The sequence below is a fragment of the Homo sapiens genome, chromosome 1 (assembly GCF_000001405.40).
Source record: "Homo sapiens chromosome 1, GRCh38.p14 Primary Assembly".
In the NCBI taxonomy this organism is placed as follows: domain Eukaryota; kingdom Metazoa; phylum Chordata; class Mammalia; order Primates; family Hominidae; genus Homo; species Homo sapiens.
In genome coordinates, this window is record NC_000001.11 from 154,120,152 (window position 1) to 154,143,386 (window position 23,235).

The following is a 23,235-nucleotide window of genomic DNA, read 5'->3' on the forward strand; positions in this document are numbered from 1 at the left end:
GAGCATTTTTTCATGTGTCTGTTGGCTGCATAAATGTCTTCTTTTGAGAAGTGTCTGTTCACATCCTTCACCCACTTTTTGATGGGGTTGTTTTCTTCTTGTAAATTTGTTTGAGTTCTTTGTAGATTCTGGATACTATGCAGCCATAAAAAAGGGTGAGTTCATGTCCTTTGTAGGGACATGGATGAAGCTGGAAACCATCATTCTCAGCAAACTATCACAAGGACAAAAAACCAAACACCGTATGCTCTCACTCATAGGTGGGAATTGAACAATGAGAACACTTGGACACAGAAAGGGGAACATCACACCCCGGAGCCTGTCATGGGGTTGGGGGAGGGGGGAAGGATAGCATTAGGAGATATACCTAACGTAAATGATAAGTTAATGGGTGCAGCACACCAACATGGCACATGTATACATATGTAACAAACCTGCACATTGTGCACATGTACCCTAGAACTTAAAGTATAATAATTAAAAAAAAAAAAAAAAAGAAATGCATTATCCAAGGTGGCCAGATCATGAGGTCAGGAGTTTGAGAACAGCCTGGCCAACATGGTGAAACCCCGTCTCTACCTAAAGATACAAAAAATTAGCCAGGCATGGTGGCATGCACCTGTAATCCCAGCTACACAGGAGGCTGAGGCAGGAGAATCACTTGAACCCATGAGGCGGAGGTTGCAGTGAGCTGACATCACACCATTGCACAACAGCCTGGGAGACAGGGCGAGACTCTGTCTCAAAAAAAAAAAAAAAAAAAAAGTAGTGCATTATTAAATTTATAAATATGTACTTTAAAAATCCCTTTATTGTTGATTTTAATCACATGATTGCAGACAAGGTATAATAATCTGGTAGTGAGATCTTCTTCAAGGATAGTCAGAGAAACTTTTAGATCTCTTATGGGGATCTCATGCTGGGAATTTAAAGCCCTGATGTAACCATTTTCTTTCCCCACACTATCCAGCACATTTAGCAACAATGATCAATCATATTAAATCCCTTACTGTCACTGTAATGTTTTAGGGGAGCAACCAGTTGGTTACCTAAAGCTTTGCCTTCTCTATGCACTTGACTGGAGTGTGTCTACAGGTAATAATTTAAACAGCTGTTTTGCTATTGCATGCCATGGAATAGCAGTGCTCACTTTATTACTGGAAACAGGTTCATTAAATCATTTAAGTCTAATATCAGGGAACCCAGAACGAATTTGGAGCACCTATCTATGATAACTAGACTAAAAGATGGCCCCCAAAGATTTCTGACTCCTGGTATTCACCCCCTTCTGTAGTCCCCATTATGTAGTATACATTGTCTTAGGATTGGTCTGAATAACCAATAGAATATGGCAGAAGTGCTTATATTAAAAAAGAAGAAAGATATAACCCAATGATCCATCATAAAGTTCTTCCACCATAAGAAACTTTAAAGGCTGAAAGCGGTGGCTCACGCCTGTAATCCTAGCACTTTGGGAGGCCAAGGCGGGTGGATCACCTGAGGTCAGGAGTTTGAGACCAGTCTGGCCAACATAGTGAAATCCCGTCTCTACTAAAAATACAAAAATTAGCTGGGCATGGTGGCGGGCGCCTGTAATCCCAGCTACTCGGGAGGCTGAGGCAGGAGAATCACTTGAACCCGGGAGGCGGAGGTTGCAGTGGGCCGAGATCGTTCCACTGCTCTCCAGTCTGGGCAACAGTAAGACTCCATCTCAAAAAAAAAAAGAAAAAGAAACTTTAAAAAGAAAAGCAAATTAAATCCAAACGAAGCAAAAGAAAGAGAATAATACAAAAGCATAAATGAATGAAATAGAAAACAGACAAATAGAGAAAAGTCAATGAAACCAACAGTTGCTCTTTGAAAAACTCAATAACATTTATAAACCTCTAGCCAGACTCAGAAAGAAAACAAGAGAGACATAAATGACCAATATCAGGAATTAATAAGGGGACATCACTACAGATTTTATAGACAACAAAAGACTAGTAAAACAATATTTTGAACAACTTTATGTGATAAATTCAACCACTTAGATAAAATGGACAAATTCCTTCAAAGATACAAACTACCAAATAACATGTGAATGGCTGTATATATATTTTTAAAATTGAATTCATAGTTTAAAAACTTCCCATACACTGATCATTAGGAAAAGGAAAATGAAAACCATAGTTAGATACTACTTATTACCCATTAGGATGGCTATTATTTAAAAACAAAACAGGCCCAGCGCGGTGGCTCACGCCTGTAATCCCAGCACTTTGGGAGGCCGAGGCAGGCAGATCATGAGGTCAGGAGATCAAGACCATCCTGGCTAACACAGCGAAACCCCGTTTCTACTAAAAATACAAAAAATTAGCCGGGCATGGTGGCAGGCGCCTGTAGTCCCAGCTACTCAGAGGCTGAGGCAGGAGAATGGTGTGAACTCGGGAGGTGGAGGTTGCAGTGAGCCGAGATTGTGCCACTGCACTCTAGTCTGGGAAACAGAGCAAAACTCCGTCTCAAAGAAAACAAAACAGAAAATAACAAGTGTTGACAAGGATGTGGAGAAATAGGAACACTTATACAATGCTGGTGGAATGTAACATGGTGCAGCTACTGTAGAAAACAGTATGGCAGTTCCAGGGCCAGGTGCAGTGGCTCACACCTCTAATCCCAGCACCTTGGGAGGCTGAGGTGGGTGGAGCACCTGAGTTCAGGAGTTTGAGACCAGCCAGGGCAACATGGTGAAACTCATCTCTACAAAAAAATTAGCTGGGAGTGGTGGAATGCACCTGTAGTCCCAGCTACTCAGGAGGCTGAGGTAGGAGGATCACTTGGGCCCAGGAGGTCAAGGCTGCAGTAAACCATGATGGTGCCACTGCAATCCACCCTGGGTAACAGAGTGAGACCCTGTCTCAAAAAAAAAAAAAAAAAAACCACAAAAAACTACTAGAGCTAATAAATTAATTCAGCGAAGTTGCCATATACAACATCAACACTCCAATGTCAGTTGTATTTCTTTTCTTTTTGAGACGGAGTTTCGCTCTTGTTGCCCAGGCTGGAGTGCAATGGCGCAACCTCGGCTCACTGCAACCTCCGCCTCCCAGGTTCAAGCTATTCTCCTGCCTCAGCCTCCCGAGTATCCGGGATTATAGGCACGCGCCACCACGCCCAGCTAATTTTTGCATTTTTAGTAGAGATGGAGTTTCATCATGTTGGCCAGGCTGGTCTCAAGCTCCTGACCTCAAGTGATCCACCCGCCTGGGCCTTCCAAATGCTAGGATTATAGGCGTGAGCCAACTCGCCCATCTGGATTTGCATTTTCTTAATGACTAATCATGCTGAACATCTTTTAATGTGCTATTAGCCATATGTACATTTTCTTTGTCCTATATACTATTTTTGCAACTTCTGGTAAATCTATAATAATTTCAAAATTAAAAGTTTAAAAAGTTATTAATGGGCCAGTTTCCATGGCTCACTCCTACAATTCCAGCACTTTGGGAGGCCAAGGCGGGTGGATCACTTGAGGTCAGGAGTTCGAGACCACCCTGGCCAACATAGTAAAACCTTGTCTCTACTAAAAATACAAAAATTAGCCAGCCATTGTGGCATGATCCTGTATTCCCAGCTACTCGGGAGGCTGAGGCAGGAGAATCGCTTGAACTCAGGAGGCAGAGGTTGCAGTGAACCGAGATCGTGCCACTGCACTCCAGCCTAGGTGACAGAGTGAGACTGTCTCAATTAAAAAAAAAAAAGAGAGAGAGAGGCTGGGCGCGGTGGCTCATGCCTGTAATCCTAGCACTTTGGGAGTCCAAGGTGGGCGGATCACAAGGTCAGGAGTTCGAGACCAGCCTGGCCAATATGGTGAAACCCCCATCTCTACTAAAAAAAATTACAAAAATTAGCCGGGCGTGGTGGCACACGCCTGTAGTCCTAGCTACTTGGGAGGCTGAGGCAGGAGAATCACATGAACACAGGAGGCGGAGGTTGCAGTGAGCTGAGATCGCGCCACTGCGCTCCAGCCTGGGCAACAGAGTGAGACTCCATCTCAAAAAGAAAAAAAAAAAAAAAGAGAGAGAGAGAGCACAACGGGGATGGTAAAAAAAAAAAAGATTTGACTGGCATTTAGAATTGACATGGCACTTAATAATGTATTGAATACAGAAGCTGAGGGAGAAGGCAGAGTCAAGGGTGACTTCGGATTTTGTCTAAACTGAGTGAAAGGAGCATTGGAGAAAAAGTAGGTTTGGGAGAGGAAAGCAGGTTTGGCAGGCTAGTAAAAATCAGGATACTTATGTATTTTGGAGGCATTAGAAACAGATTCATTCCTTATCCCTTTACTCAATAACTCCATTTCTGTTGTTACACAGTATGGAAATAATCCAAAAGAAAAAAAATGTACAAAGATACTCAGTTATGCCATTTACAACAGTAAAAAAAATGGAAATAATGGAAACATTCAATGTTTGGGGCATGGGTAAATAAATTGGCATATGAAACCTTTGGATTTTTAGAATTAATAGTACTCTATGCACCTGGTAGTGGTGGCTCACACCTGTAATCTCAACATTTTGGGACGCCAAGGCAGGAGGAACACTTGAGCCTAGGAGTTTGAGACCATTGTGGGCAACATAGCAAGAACCTGTCTCTACAAAAAATATAAAAATTAGCTGGGTGTGGTGGCACACGCCTGTAGTCCCAGCTACTTGGAAGGCTAAGGCAGGAGGATCACTTGAGCCCAGGAGGTCGAGGCTGCAGGTAAGCTATGATGATGCCATTGCACTCCAGCCTGGGTGACAGAGTGAGACTTGTCTCCAAAAAAAGAAAAATAAAGTACGCTCTGTGGACCTGATGACACATGGAAATGTGCATATGAAATACATCATGGCTGGGTGTAGTGGCTCACACCTATAATCCCAGCACTTTGGGAGGCTGACATGGGAGGATCACTTGAGCCTAGGAGTTCAAGACCAGCCTGTGCCACACAGTGAAACGCCTTCTTTACAAAAAATTTAAAAATTAGCCAGGTGTGGCCGGTTGTGGTGGCTCATGCCTGTAATCCCAGCACTTTGGGAGGGTGAGGCGGGTGAATCACTTGAGGTCAGGAGTTCAAGGCCAGCCTGGCCAACATGGTGAAACCCTGTCTCTACTAAAAATACAAAAATTTGCCAGGCATGGTGGTGGATGCCTATAACCCCAGCTACACAGGAGGCTGAGGTAGGAGAATCGCTTGAACCCAGGAAGCAGAGGTTGCAGTGAGCCAAGACCACGCCACTGCACTCCAGCCTGGGCAACAGAGTGAGACTCTGCCTCGAAAAACTAAACAAAAACAAAAATTAGCCAGGTGTGGTGGCATGTGCCTGCAGTCCCAGCTACTTGGGGGGCTAAGGTGGGAGGATTGCTTGAGCCTGGGAGGTCCAGGCTGCAGTGAGCCATGAGTGCACCACTGCACTCCATCCTGGCTGATGAAATGAGGCCCTCTCTGAAAGGAAGGAAGGAAGGAAGGAAGGAAGGAAGGAAGGAAGGAAGGAAGGAAGGAAGGAAGGAAGGAAGGAAGGAAGGAAGGAAGGAAGGAAGGAAGGAAGGAAGGAAGGAAGGAAGGGAGGGAGGGAAATGTTTTTTTTTTTTTTTTTTTTTTTTTTTTTTTTTGAGACGGAGTCTCGCTCTGTCGCCCAGGCTGGAGCGCAGTGGCGGGATCTCGGCTCACTGCAAGCTCCGCCTCCCGGGTTCACGCCATTCTCCTGCCTCAGCCTCCCAAGTAGCTGGAACTACAGGCGCCCGCCACCGCGCCCGGCTAATTTTTTTGTATTTTTAGTAGAGACGGGGTTTCACCGTTTTAGCCGGGATGGTCTCGATCTCCTGACCTCGTGATCCGCCCGCCTCGGCCTCCCAAAGTGCTGGGATTACAGGCGTGAGCCACCGCGCCCGGCCAAGAAATGTTTTTAATGAAACCTGAAACCCCAAATGATATATACACAATGACCGCAAATGCAGATATTTTAATGTACAATAACATAGATTAGAACAGAAAATTTGTAGAGGTATACACTTACGAATTTGCTGTTTATCTGTTTATTTTTCTGAAAGATAAAGGTGGTATATGCTATATATCTGCTTGCAAATCAACAAGTCAGCCAAGCCTCTTCAGTGTTCTTAGAATACAAACACTGTCTGTTTAATTCCTACCTGGTAAATGATGGAGGTCAGGGATGCATTTATTACCACAACACCATCTTTCAGGGCTTTTACTATATGGTAAGATCCATTCACGGTAGTTAGTTGCTCTTCAAAGTACTCCTTAGGAAAGTCGTATGTAATCCTGAGATTCTGAAAATCAGCCCCACAGTAACACAAACCTGAAGATATGTTCTTTCCCTGAAGTCATCTTAATCCCAAAGCATCTATAAAACTGTAGCTATGCATTCATGGAATAAAGAGATAAAAACAAAACTTTTGCTCTCCCTCATAGAAATTAAAAGTTGGGGAGATATAATTTTAAAATGGGACTAGTTTTTGAAAGATCTATCAATGGCAAACATCAGGAATAGCAAGAGTCAAAGCTTATGCAAATTTTAGTGTAATTTTTACCATTTTATAAATTGACAGTTCTCAGGATGAAATAAGGACCCTAGAGAGTGAGTACAATACTTCACATCTGATATTCATATTACTACTCTCACCACTACAAAACTCTGGTAACCATCTAGGATGTGAAGTTGTAGAATGAGGACACCTTCCAAAGTGTTATCACTGGTACTCATTTCACCTCTTTTCTATAATTCTGACCAAATTATATCTTTTACTTCTGATTTAGCATTCCTCAAGAACAGAACTAGCTGGGCATGGTTGCTTATGCCTTTAATCCCAGCTGAGGCAGGAGGATTGCTTGAGCCCAGGAGTTGGAGGCTGCAGTGAGCTATGATCACACCACTGTACTCCAGTCTGGGTGACAGAGCGAGACTGTGTCTCTTTAAAAAAAAAAAAAAAAGAAGAAAAAGAAGAAGAAGAAGAAGAGAATTAATGATAATAATAAATTAGCAACTTGCTTTTCCGAAGGTAAAAATCTAGAATCAAAGAAAGAAAGAGGGCTTTCTAGCCAGGAAGATGGTCCACTTTACATCTTATGTATCTTATCCCTACAAGGAGCTCAGAAAAATAAAAAAGACTGACTCACATCTGAAATATAGACCTTTGTGCTGCTTTTATCAAAGACGTCTACTGTAATGACATATACCTGTCCCACCTCTAGACTCCATCGGTTTCCAGGTTGGACAGTGAAACCTATACACAAATCAAGAAACAAAAATATTAGAAGAGGCTAACATTTTTCTACAACGAATTTAAAAATACAACCTTTATAAAGCTGTTCAAACAGCAAAATTTACTAATAGATGGAGATGGTTTCCAAAGTAGGTTCTTTTTTTTTTTTTTTTTTTTTGAGAGTCTTGCTTTGTCACCCAGGCTGGAGTGCAGTGATGATTTCGGCTCACTGCAACCTCTGCCTCCTGGGTTCAACTGATTCTTGTGCCTCAGCCTCCCAAGTAACTGGGATTATCGGTGTGCGTTACCATGCATGCTCAGCTAATTTTTGTATTTTTAGTAGAGATGAGGTTTTGCCATGTTGGCCAGGCTGGTCTCAAACTCCTGGCCTCAAGTGATCTGCCTGCCTCAGCCTCCCAAAGTGCTGGAATTACAGGCCTGAGCCACTGTGCCTGGTCTAAAGTAGATTTTTTTGTTGTTATTTTTTGAAACAGGGTCTCACTGTCACAGATGCTGGAGTGCAGTGGTGTCATCATGACTCACTGCAGCCTCGACCTCCTGGGCTCAGGTGATCCTTCTACCTTAGTCTTCTGAGTAGCTGGGACTACAGGCTTAGAACACTGCGCCTGGCTAATTCTTCCATTTATAGTAGAGACAGGGTTTCATCATGTTGCCCACACTGGTCTCGAACTCCTCAGCTCAAGGGATGTACCAGCCTCAGCCTCCCAAAGTGCTGGAATTAGACATGAACCACTGCACCCAGCTCTCCAAAGTAGATCTTTTAGTTCCTTCTCTCAAATTGTATAAGGCTTGGCCTGGTGGCTCATGCCTATAATCCTAGCACTTTGGGAGGCCAAGGAGGGAGAATTGCTTGAGCCCAGGAGTTTGAGACCAGCCTGGGCAACACGGCAAGATCCCATCTCTACAAAAAAATTAAAAATTAGCTGAACGTGGTGGCTCGCGGCTATAGTTCCATTACTCAGGAGACTGAGGTGGAAGGATCATTTGACCCCAGGAATTGGAGGCTACAGTGGGCTGTAGCCCATTGCATTCCAGCCTGGGCAACAGAGCCAGACACTGATTCAGACCAAAAAGAAAAAATTGTATAATAATTTAGGGTTCCAAAAATCCTGGTTTAATTTAGCTCATCTCAGGTATAAAGAAACACTTTAGGCTGGGCATGGTGGTTCACACCTCTAATTCTGGCACTTTGGGAGGCCGAGGAGAGCAAATCGCTTGAGCTCAGGAGTTTGAGACCAGCCTGGGCAATGTGGCAAAATCCCATCTTTACAGAAAACAAAAATTAGCCAGGCATGGTGGCGCACCTGTAGTCCCAGCTACTTGGAAGGCTAAGGTGTGAAGATTGCTTGAGCCTGAGAGGCAGAGGTTGCAGTCAGCCAAGATCACACCACTGCATTCCAGCCTGGGTGACAGAGCAAGACCCTGTCTCAAACAAAAACAAAAACAAACACAAACAAAAAAAAGAAACACTTTCACTTATATCTGTAGACAAGAAGAAACCATACTTTCAGCTCATTCCTAATGTGTCAGGCAATATTTCAGCTTCTTTCAGTCAGATTCATTGTTTTCATATGGCCTATGAGCGTTAAGATTCTTTTTTCCTTGTATAAAGTTTCTTTTCCTAAACTCAAAATTGTATTACATGGATTTTCATATTTTTTTCACAATCTGTTTCAACATGCTTCACTCTTGTGATAGCATTTAATCAGAACAATTTGATAAAACATGTCAAAGTAAGGTTGAATTTGAAATTAAGTCCCAGAATGAAAGTTGAAAGTTGAAGAAATGCTGTATAATGCACTCATTTTAGTGAAATCATTTAAGCTATCCACCTTTCTGAAAAGTATGATCTAAAATACCTAAAAATCCAGGCTCTACAACATATATGGTGCAATTTGGGAGTCCAGACACAGATCGCATATGAACATCTTAATTTTTGCTTAAGGAAATCATGTGAGCCAGAGTTGGGTGAAAAGGTGAGGTACCAAAGGAGAAAAACAAACAAACAAACAAATGCACAAATGAAAACAAACAAAAATCCTATCTTTTATTATCCTTTGGAAAGCCAAAACTTAAATGTGTATACTTCTGCAAAAAGTCTGAGGGACTCTTAGTCATCTTATGAGTCAGATATTCTTGAATTTCAATTTGAGGAAGATAGAAAGGGAGAAAAAAGATCATGCTTTGTGCTTTTAATATTAACGTAGCTGCAGACCCCTTTCTCCAAATAAATACCTACATAGGAGCCCAGTATGGAAACAGGACGAAGTGGCTCCATTCTGGAGGAAGAGACCTTCTGGCTAAAGGGATGAACTGTTGATGGAGGCAGAGGGAGAGGCATGACTTGCCATCCAGCAACATGCCTAGAACTCCACAGATAGTTTCAAAATTACTAGTTGATTTTCTGTTATTTGCAGTAAATGTTTAATACCAAAATGTTCTCTGCATGCCATCAAAGATACTTCTGGGTCACTTATACCTCATTCTACCACTACCATTTCAGATAATCCTGGCAGAAATATAAATTTATTCCAGTATCAGTCTATATACAATCTAATTAAGAATATGCTTTGTTCTCAAAAATATACTACATCCAAAAGCTAAGAATAAATTACTTCTGCTCTGAGAAACACATAACTGGCCAGGCACGGTGGCTCATGCCTGTAATCCCAGCACTTTGGGAGGCCGAGGTGGGTGGACTGTCTGAGGTCAGGAGTTCAAGACCAGCCTGACCAACATGGTGAAACCCTGTCTTTACTAAAAATACAAAAATTAGCCAGGTGTGGTGGCAGGCACCCGTAATCTCAGCTACTCAGGAGGCTGAGGCAGAAGAATTGCTTGAACCCAGGAGGCAGAGGTTGCAGTGAGCTGAGATTGCGCCATTGCACTCTGTCACCCAGGCTAGAGTGCAACAGCATGATCTTGGCTCACTGAAACCACTGCCTCCCATGTTCAAGCGATTCTTCTGCCTCAGACTCCCAAGTAGCTGGGACTATAGGCGCGCACCACCTCGCCCAGCTAATTATTGTATTTTTAGTAGAGACAGGGTTTTGCCATGTTGGCCAGGCTGGTCTCGAACTCCTGACCTCAGGTGATCCACCCGCCTCAGCCTCCCAAAGCGTTGGGATTACAGGCGTGAGCCACTGCGCCTGGCCCCAATTTTTTTTTTTTTTTTTTTTTTTTGAGACAGGGTCTCACTCTGTCACCCAGGCTGAGTGCAGTGGTACAATCACAGCTCACTGCAGCCTCTCTAACTCCTGGACTCAAGCGATTCTCCTACCCTCAGGCCTCTGAGTAACTGGGACTATAGGCCTGCACCACCACATCTGGCTAACCTTTTACTTTTTGTAGAGACAGGGGTCTCACTATGTTGCCTAGACTGGTCTTAAACTCCTGGACTCAAGCAATCCTCCTGCCTCAGCCTCTCAAAGTGCTGGGGTTACATGCATGAGCCACTGTGCCCGGCCTAAAGCAAATCTTCTAAATACTTTATGGTAACTCTGTGCCAAAGTTAGGTTTAGTTCTGATATGTACTTTACCATAATATTCATAACATATAAGAGCTAGGGCCGGGCGTCGTGAATCACGCCTGTAATCTCAGCACTTTGGGAGGCCGAGACGGGTGGATCACGAGGTCAGAAGATTGAGACCATCCTGGCTAACACGGTGAAACCCCGTCTCTGCTAAAAAAAAAAATACAAAAAATTAGCCAGGCGTGGTGGCAGGCGCCTGTAGTCCCAGCTACTTGGGAGGCTGAGGCAGGAGAATGGCGTGAACCCGGGAGGTGGAGCTTGCAGTGAGCCAAGATGGCGCCACTGCACTCCAGCCCGGGCAACAGAGCGAGACTCCATCTCAAAAAAAAAAAAAAGAAAAGAAAAGAGCTAGAAGGAAAGTCAGCAATAACAACATTCACTTCATTTTACAAATGAGGAAACATCTCAACAGATCTCTAAAACAATTCATTCTTCTGATATCGGAATAAGATATCAGAATAAGATCTAAGCCTTCCATCTGCATTCCAAATCTCATTTTCTGTTGCCTCTCAGAAAACATGCTCCATCAACTGGCTCTCCTTTCTCCCTTATCTCTGCCATCTTTCTCTCTTTAATTAAGAGAAATATTAAGAGAAATGTTCAAGTTTTTCCAATCTTAAAAAAAAAAAGTATTCGTTGTGTCTTTTTCAAACTTATTTGTTTTTGTCCTTATGAAAGCCAAGCTGTTTTTACTGACAAAGTGACCTAAGACCTCCTAGTTACTACAACCTTTCAGTCTTTATCTTGACATCACTACCAGATTTGACCTGTTGAACAGTTTTCTCCTCTTTGTAAATTCCTAATTTGGTTATCAGGAAACTCCTCTTTCTGGTTTTTCTTTCTTTTTTTCTTTTTTCTTTTTTTCTTTAGTTGAGACTCAGTTTCACTCCGTCGCCCAGGCTGGGGTGCAGTGGTGCCATCTCGGCTCACTGCAACTTCTGCCTCCTAGGTTCATGCGATTCTCCTGCCTCAGGAGTTCCTCCCGAGTAGCTGGGATTACAGGCGTGCATCACCACGCCCTGCTAATTTTTATATTATTAGTAGAGATGGGGTTTCTCCATGTTGACCAGGCTGGTCTCAAACTCCTGACCAGTGATCCACCTGCCTCAGCCTCCCAAAGTGCTGGGATTATAGGCATGAGCCACTGTGCCCATCCTTGGTTTTTCTATAATACTACATTTTAAGCATTCCTTCAGATCCTCCTCACACGTTCTCTTTTCCCATACGAACCTTAAAAGCTAGCATTACACAATTTTGTCTTTGGCCAAATTCTCTCACTGTATATAATTTCCCTAGGTGATTTTGTCTACAATAGCTCCAACTATCACCTATCTATAAACTAACTTTCAAATATCTATCTTGATCCTCAATCTTTCTTGATCCTTGAGGATCTATCTTGATCCTCAATCTTTCTCCTCCGGAGGCATAATGAAAATTTCTGCTTGGATATCTATCCCACAGTTTTGATGTTTTAATTTAACATGTGAAAAACTGAACTCGCTATCTTTTTCCTTAAAACTGCTCTTTCTCTTATATTCTCCATCTCCATGAACAGTTCCACCAGCTACTCTATGCCAGGTGCTGGGACATATTATGAATAGTCACCATCCATGTCCTCAAAAAAGATAAATAAACAGACAAATACAATGTATTTTAATATTTGATACTTTGGAAAAAAATAACAATATGAACTGAAAATATGGGGGAAAAAAAGAACATTTAAGTTCACCTGGGGAATTCAGGGAAGTTCCTGACACACAGTTGGGGCTCAATAAATATTGAATAACTTAATTTATTTTGTAGGTATGATTGTATTTGTTGAAAAATGTCCTAGGTACCTTAAAATGACTAAAAAGCAAACAACATTGGATCAATAACTCTCCTTAATGTGTGTTAGACAAATAATATAGGCTGCTAACTAACAATATTATACAAGAAATACTGTACCTTTCAAGTCTGATAGAATTTTTTTGGTGTTGGCAACTTTTCTTGAAGTGGAGTAGCAGAGGTACTGCTCCTTTTGGAGCAGGGCTACGCTATAGACAGTGTGCCCAAAGTAGAGACATTCTTATTCAGAGTAAGCCTACTAGGCCCTACCTAATCTGCCCCTCCCCTACTCTATTACTTCTACTATTTCCTGATTCACTGCACTTTAGCTTCACTGTCTTCCTTACTCTTCTTTAATCATGCCAAATATGTTCCTACTTCAGAACCTTTGCCATTGCTCTTTCCTTTCCCTAGAAGTCTTTCACCAATTATCCACATGGCTTATTGTGCCAGTGTCGCCTCATCAGAGAGGACTTTTCTAACTATGCTAGGTAAAGACTGGGTGTGGTGGATCACACCTGTAATCCAAGCACTTTGGGAGGCCTAGGCAGGAGGTTCATTTAAGGCCAGTAGTTCATCCAGCCTACTCAGCCTAGCAAGACATCTCTACAAAAAAAGACACAATTAGTATGGCACGGTGGTGTATGCCTATAGTCCCAGCTACTCAGAAGGCTGAGGTGGGAGGATTGCTCAAGGCTACTATGAGTTATGATCATGCCTCTGCACTCTAACCTGGGCATCAGAGTGAGACTCTATCTCTAAAAAAAAAAAAAAAAATCTGGCTGGGTGTGGTGGCTCATGCCTGGAATCCTAGCACTTTGGGAGGCCAAGGCAGGTGAATCGCTTGAGTCCAGGAGTTCAAGAGCAGTGTGGGCAACATGGCGAGACCTTGTGTCTATAAAAAAATACAAAAATTAGCTGGGCGTGGTGGCACGTGCCTGTGGTCCCAGCTACTTGGGAGGCTGAGCTGGGAGGATCACTTGAGCCTGGAGTTTACAGGTTGCAGTGAGCCAAGAGCCAAGATTGCACCACTGCACTCCAGCCTGGGCAACAGAGTGAGACCCTGTCTCTACAAAAATAATAATTTTTTGGCCAGGCACAGTGGCTCATGCCTGTAATCCCAGCACTGTGGAAGGCCGAAGTGGGTGGATCATCTGAGGTCAGGAGTTCAAGTCCAGCCTGGCCAACATGGTGAAACCCCATCTCTACTAAAAATACAAAAATTAGCCGGGCATGGTGGCGCACACCTGTAATCCCAGCTGCTTAGGAGGCCGAGGCAGGAGAATAACTCGAACCTGGGAGGCGGAGGTGGGAGTGAGCAGAAATCGCGCCACTGCACTCCAGCTTGGGCAACAAGAGCAAAACTCCACCTCAAAAAAAAAATAATAATAATAATAATAATATTTTAAGAATCTAACTATACTGGACAAAATGGCAATTTGTATACCCAGAGCTTAGAACAATGTTGAGCATATAGTAGAAATATAATAGATATTTGCTGAATGAATTTCTTTCAGATTAAAATATTCAAAAAAAATACCAAATAAAACACAGAGAGATGGAGTCCAAATCATATTTCAATTTTCTGAGAATTTAAATCTTCATTCTCTTCTGTTTTCATTGACTATTACAGATCTCCGTGTACCTTTTTTTTTTTTTTTTTTGAGATGGAGTTTCAGGCCGGGCGCGGTGGCTCACGCCTGTAATCCCAGCACTTTGGGAGGCCGAGGCGGGCAGATCACAAGGTCAGGAGATCGAGACCATCCTGGCTAACACAGTGAAACCCCGTCTCTACTAAAAATACAAAAAATTAGCTGGGCGAGGTGACGGGCGCCTGTAGTCCCAGCTACTCGGGAGGCTGAGGCAGGAGAACGGCGTGAACCCCGGGGGCGGAGCCTGCAGTGAGCCGAGATTGCGCCACTGCACTCCGGCCTGGGCGACAGCGAGACTCCGTCTCAAAAAAAAAAAAAAAAAAAAGATGGAGTTTTGCTCTTGTTGCCCAGGCTGGAGTGCAGTGGTGCGATCTTGGCTCACCGCAACCTCCACTTCCCGGGGGTTCAAGCGATTCTCCTGCCTCAGCCTCCCGAGTAGCTGGGATTACAGGCATGCACCACCACGCCCGGCTAATTTTTGTATTTTTAGTAGAGACGGGGTTTCTTCATGTTGGTCAAGCTGTTCTCAAACTCCCGACCTCAGGTGATCAGCCGGCCTCGGCCTCCCAAAGTGCTGGGATTACATGCGTGAGCCACCACGCCCGGCCTCTGTGTACCTTTCTTTGTTCAATCCTTGCATAGCAGGTTTAGTGAATTTTTAAAAATTGCTCTCAACACAATAAAAATATTAGTTAAACATCTACTGGAGACAATAGCATATTTTCTCAATTATCATGTACAAATAGAAAAGAGAATTAAATAAAATTCTCACATGTTCTTCCAAACTCCGTTTTCCCCATTCCCCTAATTACAGTTTTTTTATTTCCCTAATTACAATTTGATTGAGGTTGCAAATAAGCATTGAAGTTAGTAGATCCCAAGTTCCAACTATACTCCTTTTCTCTACTTACTCTGCTAGAAATTATGACAGTAATAACTTATAATTCTTTATTAAAAATAAAACCTATAGGAAAACACTGTAGTAGTATTATAATCTTTTTTTTTTTTTTGAGACGGAGTCTCGCTGTGCCGCCCAGGTTGGAGTGCAGTGGCACGATTTTGGCTCACTGCAACCTCTGCCTCCCGGGTTCACACCATTCTCCTGCCTCAGCCTCCCGAGTAGCTGGGACTACAGGCGCCCGCCACCACGCCTGGCTAATTTTTAGTATTTTTAGTAGAGTCAGGGTTTCACCGTGTTAGCCAGGATGGTCTCGATCTCCTGACCTTGTGATCAGCCCGCCTCGGCCTCCCAAAGTGCTGGAATTACAGGCGTGAGCCACCGCGCCCGGCCATAATCATTCTTAATAAATTATTTTACCAAAGAACATGTCTAGGATGCTCAAGGAAGTGTAGACTGGCAGCTAAAACTTGAACAAAAGGATACTTTTATGGACAAAGACAAGATTAGTCTGGCCCAGTTGTGAGGCAGTCACCATGGCTGTTTTGTCATCCAGTATAGCCACTTTCTCAGAATGAGACCCGTTAAGTGCAACTCTATGGTCTTGCAATTCCAGTATATAATGTTCCAGGGGAAATTTCACCTCTGTAAGACATGAAAGATACATAAATGTAATGACAGCAGCCATTCCAGTAGATAATGATGTATTCTTGATCATAAAGGAATGATCAGGAAGCAGACATAAAATAAGAGTATGATCTGCTTCTAATGTTTTTCCTGCTATGATGAATTTCTACATGTAACCATTTGGGGGGAGTATATGAGTTAAAATATATTGCTGGAGGCTGGGTGTGGTGGCTCCGCCTGTAATCCCAGCACTTTGGGAGGCCAAGGCGGGTGGATCACCTGAAGTTAGGAGTTCGAGACCAGCCTGGCCAACATGGTGAAACCCCGTCTCTACTAAAAATACCAAAATTAGCCGGGCGTGATGGCGTGTGCCTGTAATCCCAGCTACTCGGGAGGCTGATGCAGGAGAATCGCTTGAACCTGGGAGGTGGAGGTTGCAGTGAGCTGAGATCAAACCATTGCACTCTAGCCTGGGCGACAAAGCATAACTCCGTCTCAAAATAAATAAATAAATAAATAAAAATTAAAAATATATATATACAGAGAGAGAGAGAAAGAAAGAATTGGTTTTGCTTGTATTCTTAAAAACTAGTGAACTGAGTAGCAGGAGGGGTCATCATTAGTAAGAAAAAGATTAACGTTAATGGAGCCAATACATACTTTAAAAGCTCAATGTAACTTTTAGGCCAGGTGCGGTGGTTCACGCCTGTAATCCCAGCACCGTGGGAAGCCGAGGTGGGTGAACCACGAGGTCAGGAGTTCGAGACCAGCCTGGGCAACATGGTGAAACCCCATCTCTACTAAAAATGCAAAAAATTAGCTGGGCGTAGTGGCGGGCTCCTGTAATCCCAGCTACTCGGGAGGCTGCGGCAGGAGAATCGTTTGAACCTGGGAGGCAGAGGTTGCAGTGAGCCGAGATCATGCCACTGCACTCCAGCCTGGGCGACAGAGTGAGAATCCATCTCAAAAAAAAAAAAAAAAAAAAAGCTCAATGTAACTTTTAGTATCAACAGAATATTAAGCTTTCAGTCGATGAATTGAGTTTCTCAAGAAACAACTTTTGCAAAGATCATTGCAATGCTCATTCAGGTCCCTTCTGGTAAAGTGTCTTAACTTGCCCTTCAAAAGCTAGTAAAGCTTTAATTGTTTTATTTATTTAGTTATTTTTAGAGATGAGGTCTCAGCTTGGCACAGTAGCTCACACCTATAATCTCAGCCCTTTGGGAGGGAGGCCAAGGTGGGAGAATCACTTGGGACAAGGAGTTCAAGACCAGCCTGGGTAACATAATGAGATCCCATTTCTAACAAAAAAAAGAGGCCGGGAGTGATGGCTCACGCCTGTAATCCCAGCACTTTGGGAGGCTGAGGCAGATGGATCATGAGGCCAGGAGTTTGAGACCAGCCTGGCCAGCATGGTGAAACCCCGTCTCTACTAAAAATACAAAAAATTAGCTGGGCATGGTGGTGCACACCTGTAATCCCAGCTACTCGGGAGGCTGAGGCAGGAGAACTGCTTGAACCCAGAGGTGGAGGTTGCAGTGAGCCGAGATCATGCCACTGCACTCCAGCCTGGGTGACAGAGAGAGACTACATCTAGAAAAAAAAAAAAAAAGAGCTTGATATGGTGGCAGGAACCTGTAGTTCCAGCCATTCAGGAGGCTGAGGTGGGAGGATCACTTGAGCACAGGAGTTCAATGTTGCAATGAGCCATGATCATGCCACTGTACTACAACCTGGGCAACAGAGTGAGACCCCCATCTCAAAAAAATAAAAATAAAAAAATAATAAAGATATGGGGATCTTGCTCTGTTGCCTAGATTGGTCTCCAACTTCTGGCCTCAAGCAATCTTCCTGCCTCAGCTTCCAGAGTAGCTGGAATTACAAGCGAGAGCCACCATGCCTGGCTAGTTGTTGTTTTAATAGAGAATTCAGATGCCTATTGGCACCGAAGCTAAGCAGCCTAACTATGCCATTAATATGTTCAAGATATGGGGCTATTTCTGTCTAATATTAGTTAAGTACAGCAATTAACACTTTACCACAAAATCTAAAAACACAAGTATTTTTCATATGTAATGTGGAGTTGCTGATCTTGTCAGCAGAAAAGATTTGGGAAATGTGAGTCATAGGAGAAAAAATAAATCACCTTACCTGTCACTCTCCCTTGAACCATTTTTGCAACTTGGTATTTAATATATGTTCCTACTAAGAGATAAATATCATGGGATGGTATAAGAAATATATTCTCCAAAACAAGCAGACGTATTAAGGCTGCTGCCACTTTCTAAAAGAGGGAGGGAAGGAAAAAAAAAAACAGTTTCCATGGACGGAACCCTCACAGTCATCTTTCTTGTTAAAAGCTTACTTCTTTTAAACTTCTTTTAAAATTTTTTATAAAGATTTTTTTAAAAGCTTTCCTAATCACAAGTCATAATTTCAGCTAGCCTTAAAAAGTGATTATGAATCTTAATACCTTATTAACTTTCTAAGATACTCAGACTTAGAACAAAAAAGTCTTCTAAAAGAAAAAAAGTAGGTAAATAAAAAGTCAAGTATGCTGAAATGAGAAAAGGTAAGACTCAATTGTAGAACACAGAAATTCTTTTAGCCAACCTCCAATTAACTGACTTGCCAGATTAAGTTACTTTCCACTCTCTGTTGAACACATTGATTTTTATGAAGATTTACCCAATGCAAGGTTGGTAGGCTTCTCTCTAGGAGGTCCACACACTCATGTTCTTGCCATTGAATTAAATGCTTACCAAAAAACATTTGTTTTTCCCAAACCTATTTATGCAAGTTGTGCTTATAATTATAATCACATTAAAACAAAAACTATACATGTGAAAAGAGAACTGTTATTTCTATTAAAAATTTAAATGTGTCAAAAAAAGTTAAAGGCAAGCTGCTAATATATACTATCAATTAGGTATAAGTGAGAAATGTAAAATATTAGGGAAAATCCTTTAAAATATAAATTTTTGCACACAAATTCTTCCTGCATCTAAATTTTTACTTGACTAGAAATTAGGGCCGGGTGTGGTGGCTCACGCCTGTAATCCTAGCACTTTAGGAGGCCGAGACAGGTGGATCACTTGAGGCCAGAAGTTTGAAACCAGCCTGGCCATCATGGTGAAACTCTGTTTCTACTAAAAATACAAAAATTAGTTGGGCATGGTGACACACACCTGTAATCCCAGATATTCGGGAGGCTGAGGCACAAGAATCACTTGAAACCCCCCCACCCCAAAAAAGGAAGAAATTAGAAACTGTAGTTTATTGGAGAAAGTGTATGTAGATTTCAAATCAGTGAACTCATGGTCAAAGAAAGGCCTTGCACCTACATCAAGGATTGGTGAATAAAATGTAGTTATATATTTTAAGAGAAAATGCCAGTCACATTTGTAATTGTAATCAGGCAATAAAATGTTTAAGATAATTGTTTAATGCTTACCTACTTCAAATAACTTTTTCAATTAAATGACCAACTATTGGCCCAAATCACATCAGACTAGAGGGCTTCTACTATAGATAAACATAAAAAACTATATTTTCCATAGGCAAGACTATTAAATGAAAAATTTATAACACTGGCCAGTTGTGTGGGCTCACGCCTGTAATCCCAGCACTTTAGGAGACTGGGGCAGGCAGACTGCTTGAGCTCAGAAGTTTGAGACCAGCCTGGGCAACCTGGTGAAACCCTGTCTGTCTCTACAAAAACAAACAAACAAACAAAAAAAAAAAAAAAACAGGGCGGGTAGTGCATTCTTGTAGTACCTGGGCAACAGAGTTAGACCATATCTTGAAAAAACAAGTAAGGAAAATTTATAGCACACAAACTTTTTACCTTATAGAATGGTTCATGAATTCGAACTTTTACAACAGCAGCACCAGTTCTAATCCCAGACACTAAAATCACATCTCCTTGTTTCTCCTCTTTTTCCATCTCAGCTATATATATTGGGGGAGCATATTCTGCTTCGGAGTATTTAAGAATCCTAAAGACATAAAATAAAATGTGTTTCTAGCAGAATTAAACGAAGGGTTCTTCCAAAAGTCCCTAAGAGACTTTAAACATAGTTTCTTCAATGTCTATAGAATGTAAAACACTTTTGACTGGGCATGGTAGCTCACGCCTGTAATCCTAGCACTTTGGGAGGCCAAGGCGGGCACATCACTTGAGGTCAGGAATTTGAGACCAGCCAGGCCAACATGGCAAAACTCCATCTCTACTAAAAATACAAAAATTAGCCGGGCGTGGTGGCATGTGCCTGTAATTCCAGCTACTTGGGAAGCTGAGACAGGAGAATCACTTGAACCCAGGAGATGGAGGTTGCAGTGAGCCAAGATTGTGCCACTGCACTCCAGCCTGGGTGACAGAGCAAGACTCCGTCTCAAAAAAAAAAAAAAAAGAAAAAGAAAAAGATAAAGGCAAGGCGCAGTGGCTCACGCCTATAATCCCAGCACTTTGGGAGGCAGAGGCGGGTGGATCACTTGAGGTCAGGAGTTTGAGACCACCCTGGCCAATATGGCGAAACCCCATCTCCACTAAAAATACAAAAATTAGCTGGGCGTGGTGGCAGGCACCTGTAGTCCCAGCTACTCAGGAGACTGAGGCAGGAGAATCGCTTGAACCCAGGAGGTGGAGGCTGTAGTGAGCCGAGATCGTGTCACTGCACTCCAGCCTGAGTGACAGAGCAAGACTCCATCTCAAAAAAAAAAACAGAAAAAGAAAAGAAAAAGAAAAGGCCAGACACGGTGGCTCACGCCGTAATCCCAGCACTTTGGGAGGCCAAAGTGGGCAGATCAGGAGGTCAGGAGATTGAGAACATCCTGGCTAACAGAGTGAAACCCTGTTCTCTACTAAAAATACAACAACAACAAAAAAAATTAGCTGGGCGTGGTGGCGGGCTCCTGTAGTCCTAGCTACTTAGGAGGCTGAGGCAGGAGAATGGCGTGAACCCGGGAGGCAGAGGTTGCAGTGAGCCAAGATCACGCCACTGCACTCCAGCCTGGGAGACAGAGCAAGACTCCATCTCGAAGAAAAAAAAAAAAAAAAAAGAAAGGGATTTATGAGCCTCTGGCTAAAATTGTGGTGGGAGTAAAACTTGGATCTGAGATCTACTCCTTGGTACTGAAGACAAAATTTCATACTATCATCCTTCTCCCTCTACTCCAGCATGTGCAGGTAGCTTGAACAAAAAGAATTTCCAGAAGATATACCTGGCTCAAATAATTGTGTAGTACTTAGCCCATGAACTCCTCCATAATAACTCAGATTAAGCGATCATAAAGGTACCTACATCTATGTCATATTTCATTCTATCAAAGACATTTCTCTCAGTAATTTATCAGTTTCAAAAAAGTAGATAGCAGGGTCATCAAAGTCCACACAAATGGTTGCTTGTTCAGCATGCCGCTTAATGGCAGATGTCTTCTTCATAGTCAGATGATTTATGTTTGGTTTCAAGTTTACCTAATTTTGCTAGACAGTTCTTCTCTTGCTGACTCGTTGTCCTGGGCAATGCTCCACTCAAACATCATCCCTGCCAAACTACTAAAAGTATTTCCTGTAGAGCAAGCCAAAAGCAGACAAGATAGGATCACGTATTTAAAAATATTCAGGTATTTACAACAAGAAAGGGAAACCTAACTAGAAAATTACTTTGAAGCCTCTTTCATTAAGAAATAGAAAGCACTATCATTAATGAATTAAAACATATATATGAGAAAGTTCCCTACACAAACAATAAATGATGTTGCTGCACAAGCTGTCTGAAAGTAAAAAGGGCTCAAGCTGATTAACTTCTGGTTGACAATAATTATGCCATGCTCCTGTTCCTTTCTACATAAAGGCCACCTCATGGTTGACAAAGCATCCTTAATCCTGGTCCCCTCCACACAAATTTTTGTAAAAACTTTCCAGGCCCGGTGCAATAGCTTGTACCTGTAATCCCAGCACTTTGGGAGGCCAAGGCAGGAGGATCGCTGGAACCCAGGAGTTTGAGACCAACCTGGGCAACATAGTGACACCTGGTCTGTAAAATAAAAACTTAGCCAGGTATGGTGGCCTGCACCTGTAGTCCTAGCTACTCAGGAGGTTGAGGTAGGAGGATTGCTTGAGCCTGGGAGGTCAAGGCTGCAGTGAGCCATGCTTGTGTCACCGCACTCCAGCCTGAGTGACAGACTCTGTATCCAAAAAAAAAAAAAAGCTTCCAGAATTCCCGAATAGTTCATTTTTCAGATTAAAAAAACAAATCACTCATGTAATTAACAAAGAAAGTGGCAATACATTATAATTTTTTTTTAATTAACCATGGGAAACTTGGCCTCACAGGATACTTCAACCTCGGCCTCCCAAAGTGCTAGAATTAGAAGCATGAGCCACCACGTCCCACCTAAATTTTTTTTTTACTACCTAAGTGTTTTTTAATACCTCATTATAGCATTAATATAGTATACAGTATTAAAAGCATTAAAGATTAGATCAAGATTGTAACTTTTTTACAGATTTACATTTAATTCTCCTGGTCTATAGAAAGTGGATTGATCAAACAGAGCTAGCAATAAATTCCAAAAAGTGTTCTTCATTGTTGATCTAGGGCCCATCAACAGAAGCTCAGTGGTAGATTTGGGTATCTAAGAAAAGTTCGGAGGCCAGTGCGGTGGCTCATGCCTGTAATCCCAACACTTTGGGAGGCCGAGGAAGGCAGATCACTTGAGGCCAGGAGTTCGAGACCAGCCTGGTCAACATGGTGAAACCCGTCTCTATTAAAAATACAAACATTAACGGGTGTGGTGGCGCGTGCCTGTATTCCCAGCTACTTGGGAGGCTGAGGCACAAGAATCGCCTGAAGCGGGAGGGCAGAGGTTGCAGTGAGCCAAGATCGCACCACTGCACTTGAGCCTAGGCAACAGAGCGAGACTCCATCTCAAAAAAAAAAAAGAAAGTGGCCAGGCGCGGTGGCTCACGCCTGTAATCCCAGCACTTTGGGAGGCCAAGGCGGGTGGATCACCTGAGGTCAGGAGTTCAAGACCAGCTTGACCAACATGGTGAAAGCCCATCTCTACTAAAAATACAAAATTAGCCGGGAGTGGTGGCGCAGGCCTGTAATCCCAGCTACCCAGGAGGCTGAAGCAGGAGAACTGCTTGAACTCAGGAGGCAGAGGTTGCAGTGAGCCAAGATCATGCCATTGTACTCCAGCCTGGGCAACAAAAGCAAAACTCTGTTCCCCTCCCCCTGCCCAAAAAAAAAAAAAAGAAAGGAAAAGTTCTGAGATAACTAACAATAGCAGGAATATTTTATGAAAACGTGTAGTTAATACATTAAATTATACTCAGAATTATTATTCATCTATGAGCTCCAAATGAGAAAATAGATATTACTTCTAATCTACTTTTGCCACTCAAGTTTTTGTTTCCAAGTGCTAA

General features: G+C 42.6%; 1 protein-coding gene across 8 annotated transcripts in view; it reads right to left on the minus strand.

The window, feature by feature from the left end:
- Window positions 1–23,235, minus strand: part of NUP210L (nucleoporin 210 like) — a 162,427-nt gene that overhangs the window by 127,462 nt on the left and 11,730 nt on the right. For all 8 annotated transcript variants that reach the window (XM_011510122.2, XM_011510123.2, NM_001159484.1 and 5 more), the window contains 7 exons: window positions 21,280–21,373; window positions 19,651–19,801; window positions 17,955–18,087; window positions 15,663–15,821; window positions 9,126–9,194; window positions 7,160–7,266; window positions 6,172–6,312 (listed from right to left, as the gene is read on the minus strand). In XM_011510122.2, the coding sequence (XP_011508424.1) occupies window positions 6,172–6,312; window positions 7,160–7,266; window positions 9,126–9,194; window positions 15,663–15,821; window positions 17,955–18,087; window positions 19,651–19,801; window positions 21,280–21,373 (854 nt within the window). The remainder of the gene's footprint in view (window positions 1–6,171; window positions 6,313–7,159; window positions 7,267–9,125; window positions 9,195–15,662; window positions 15,822–17,954; window positions 18,088–19,650; window positions 19,802–21,279; window positions 21,374–23,235) is intronic.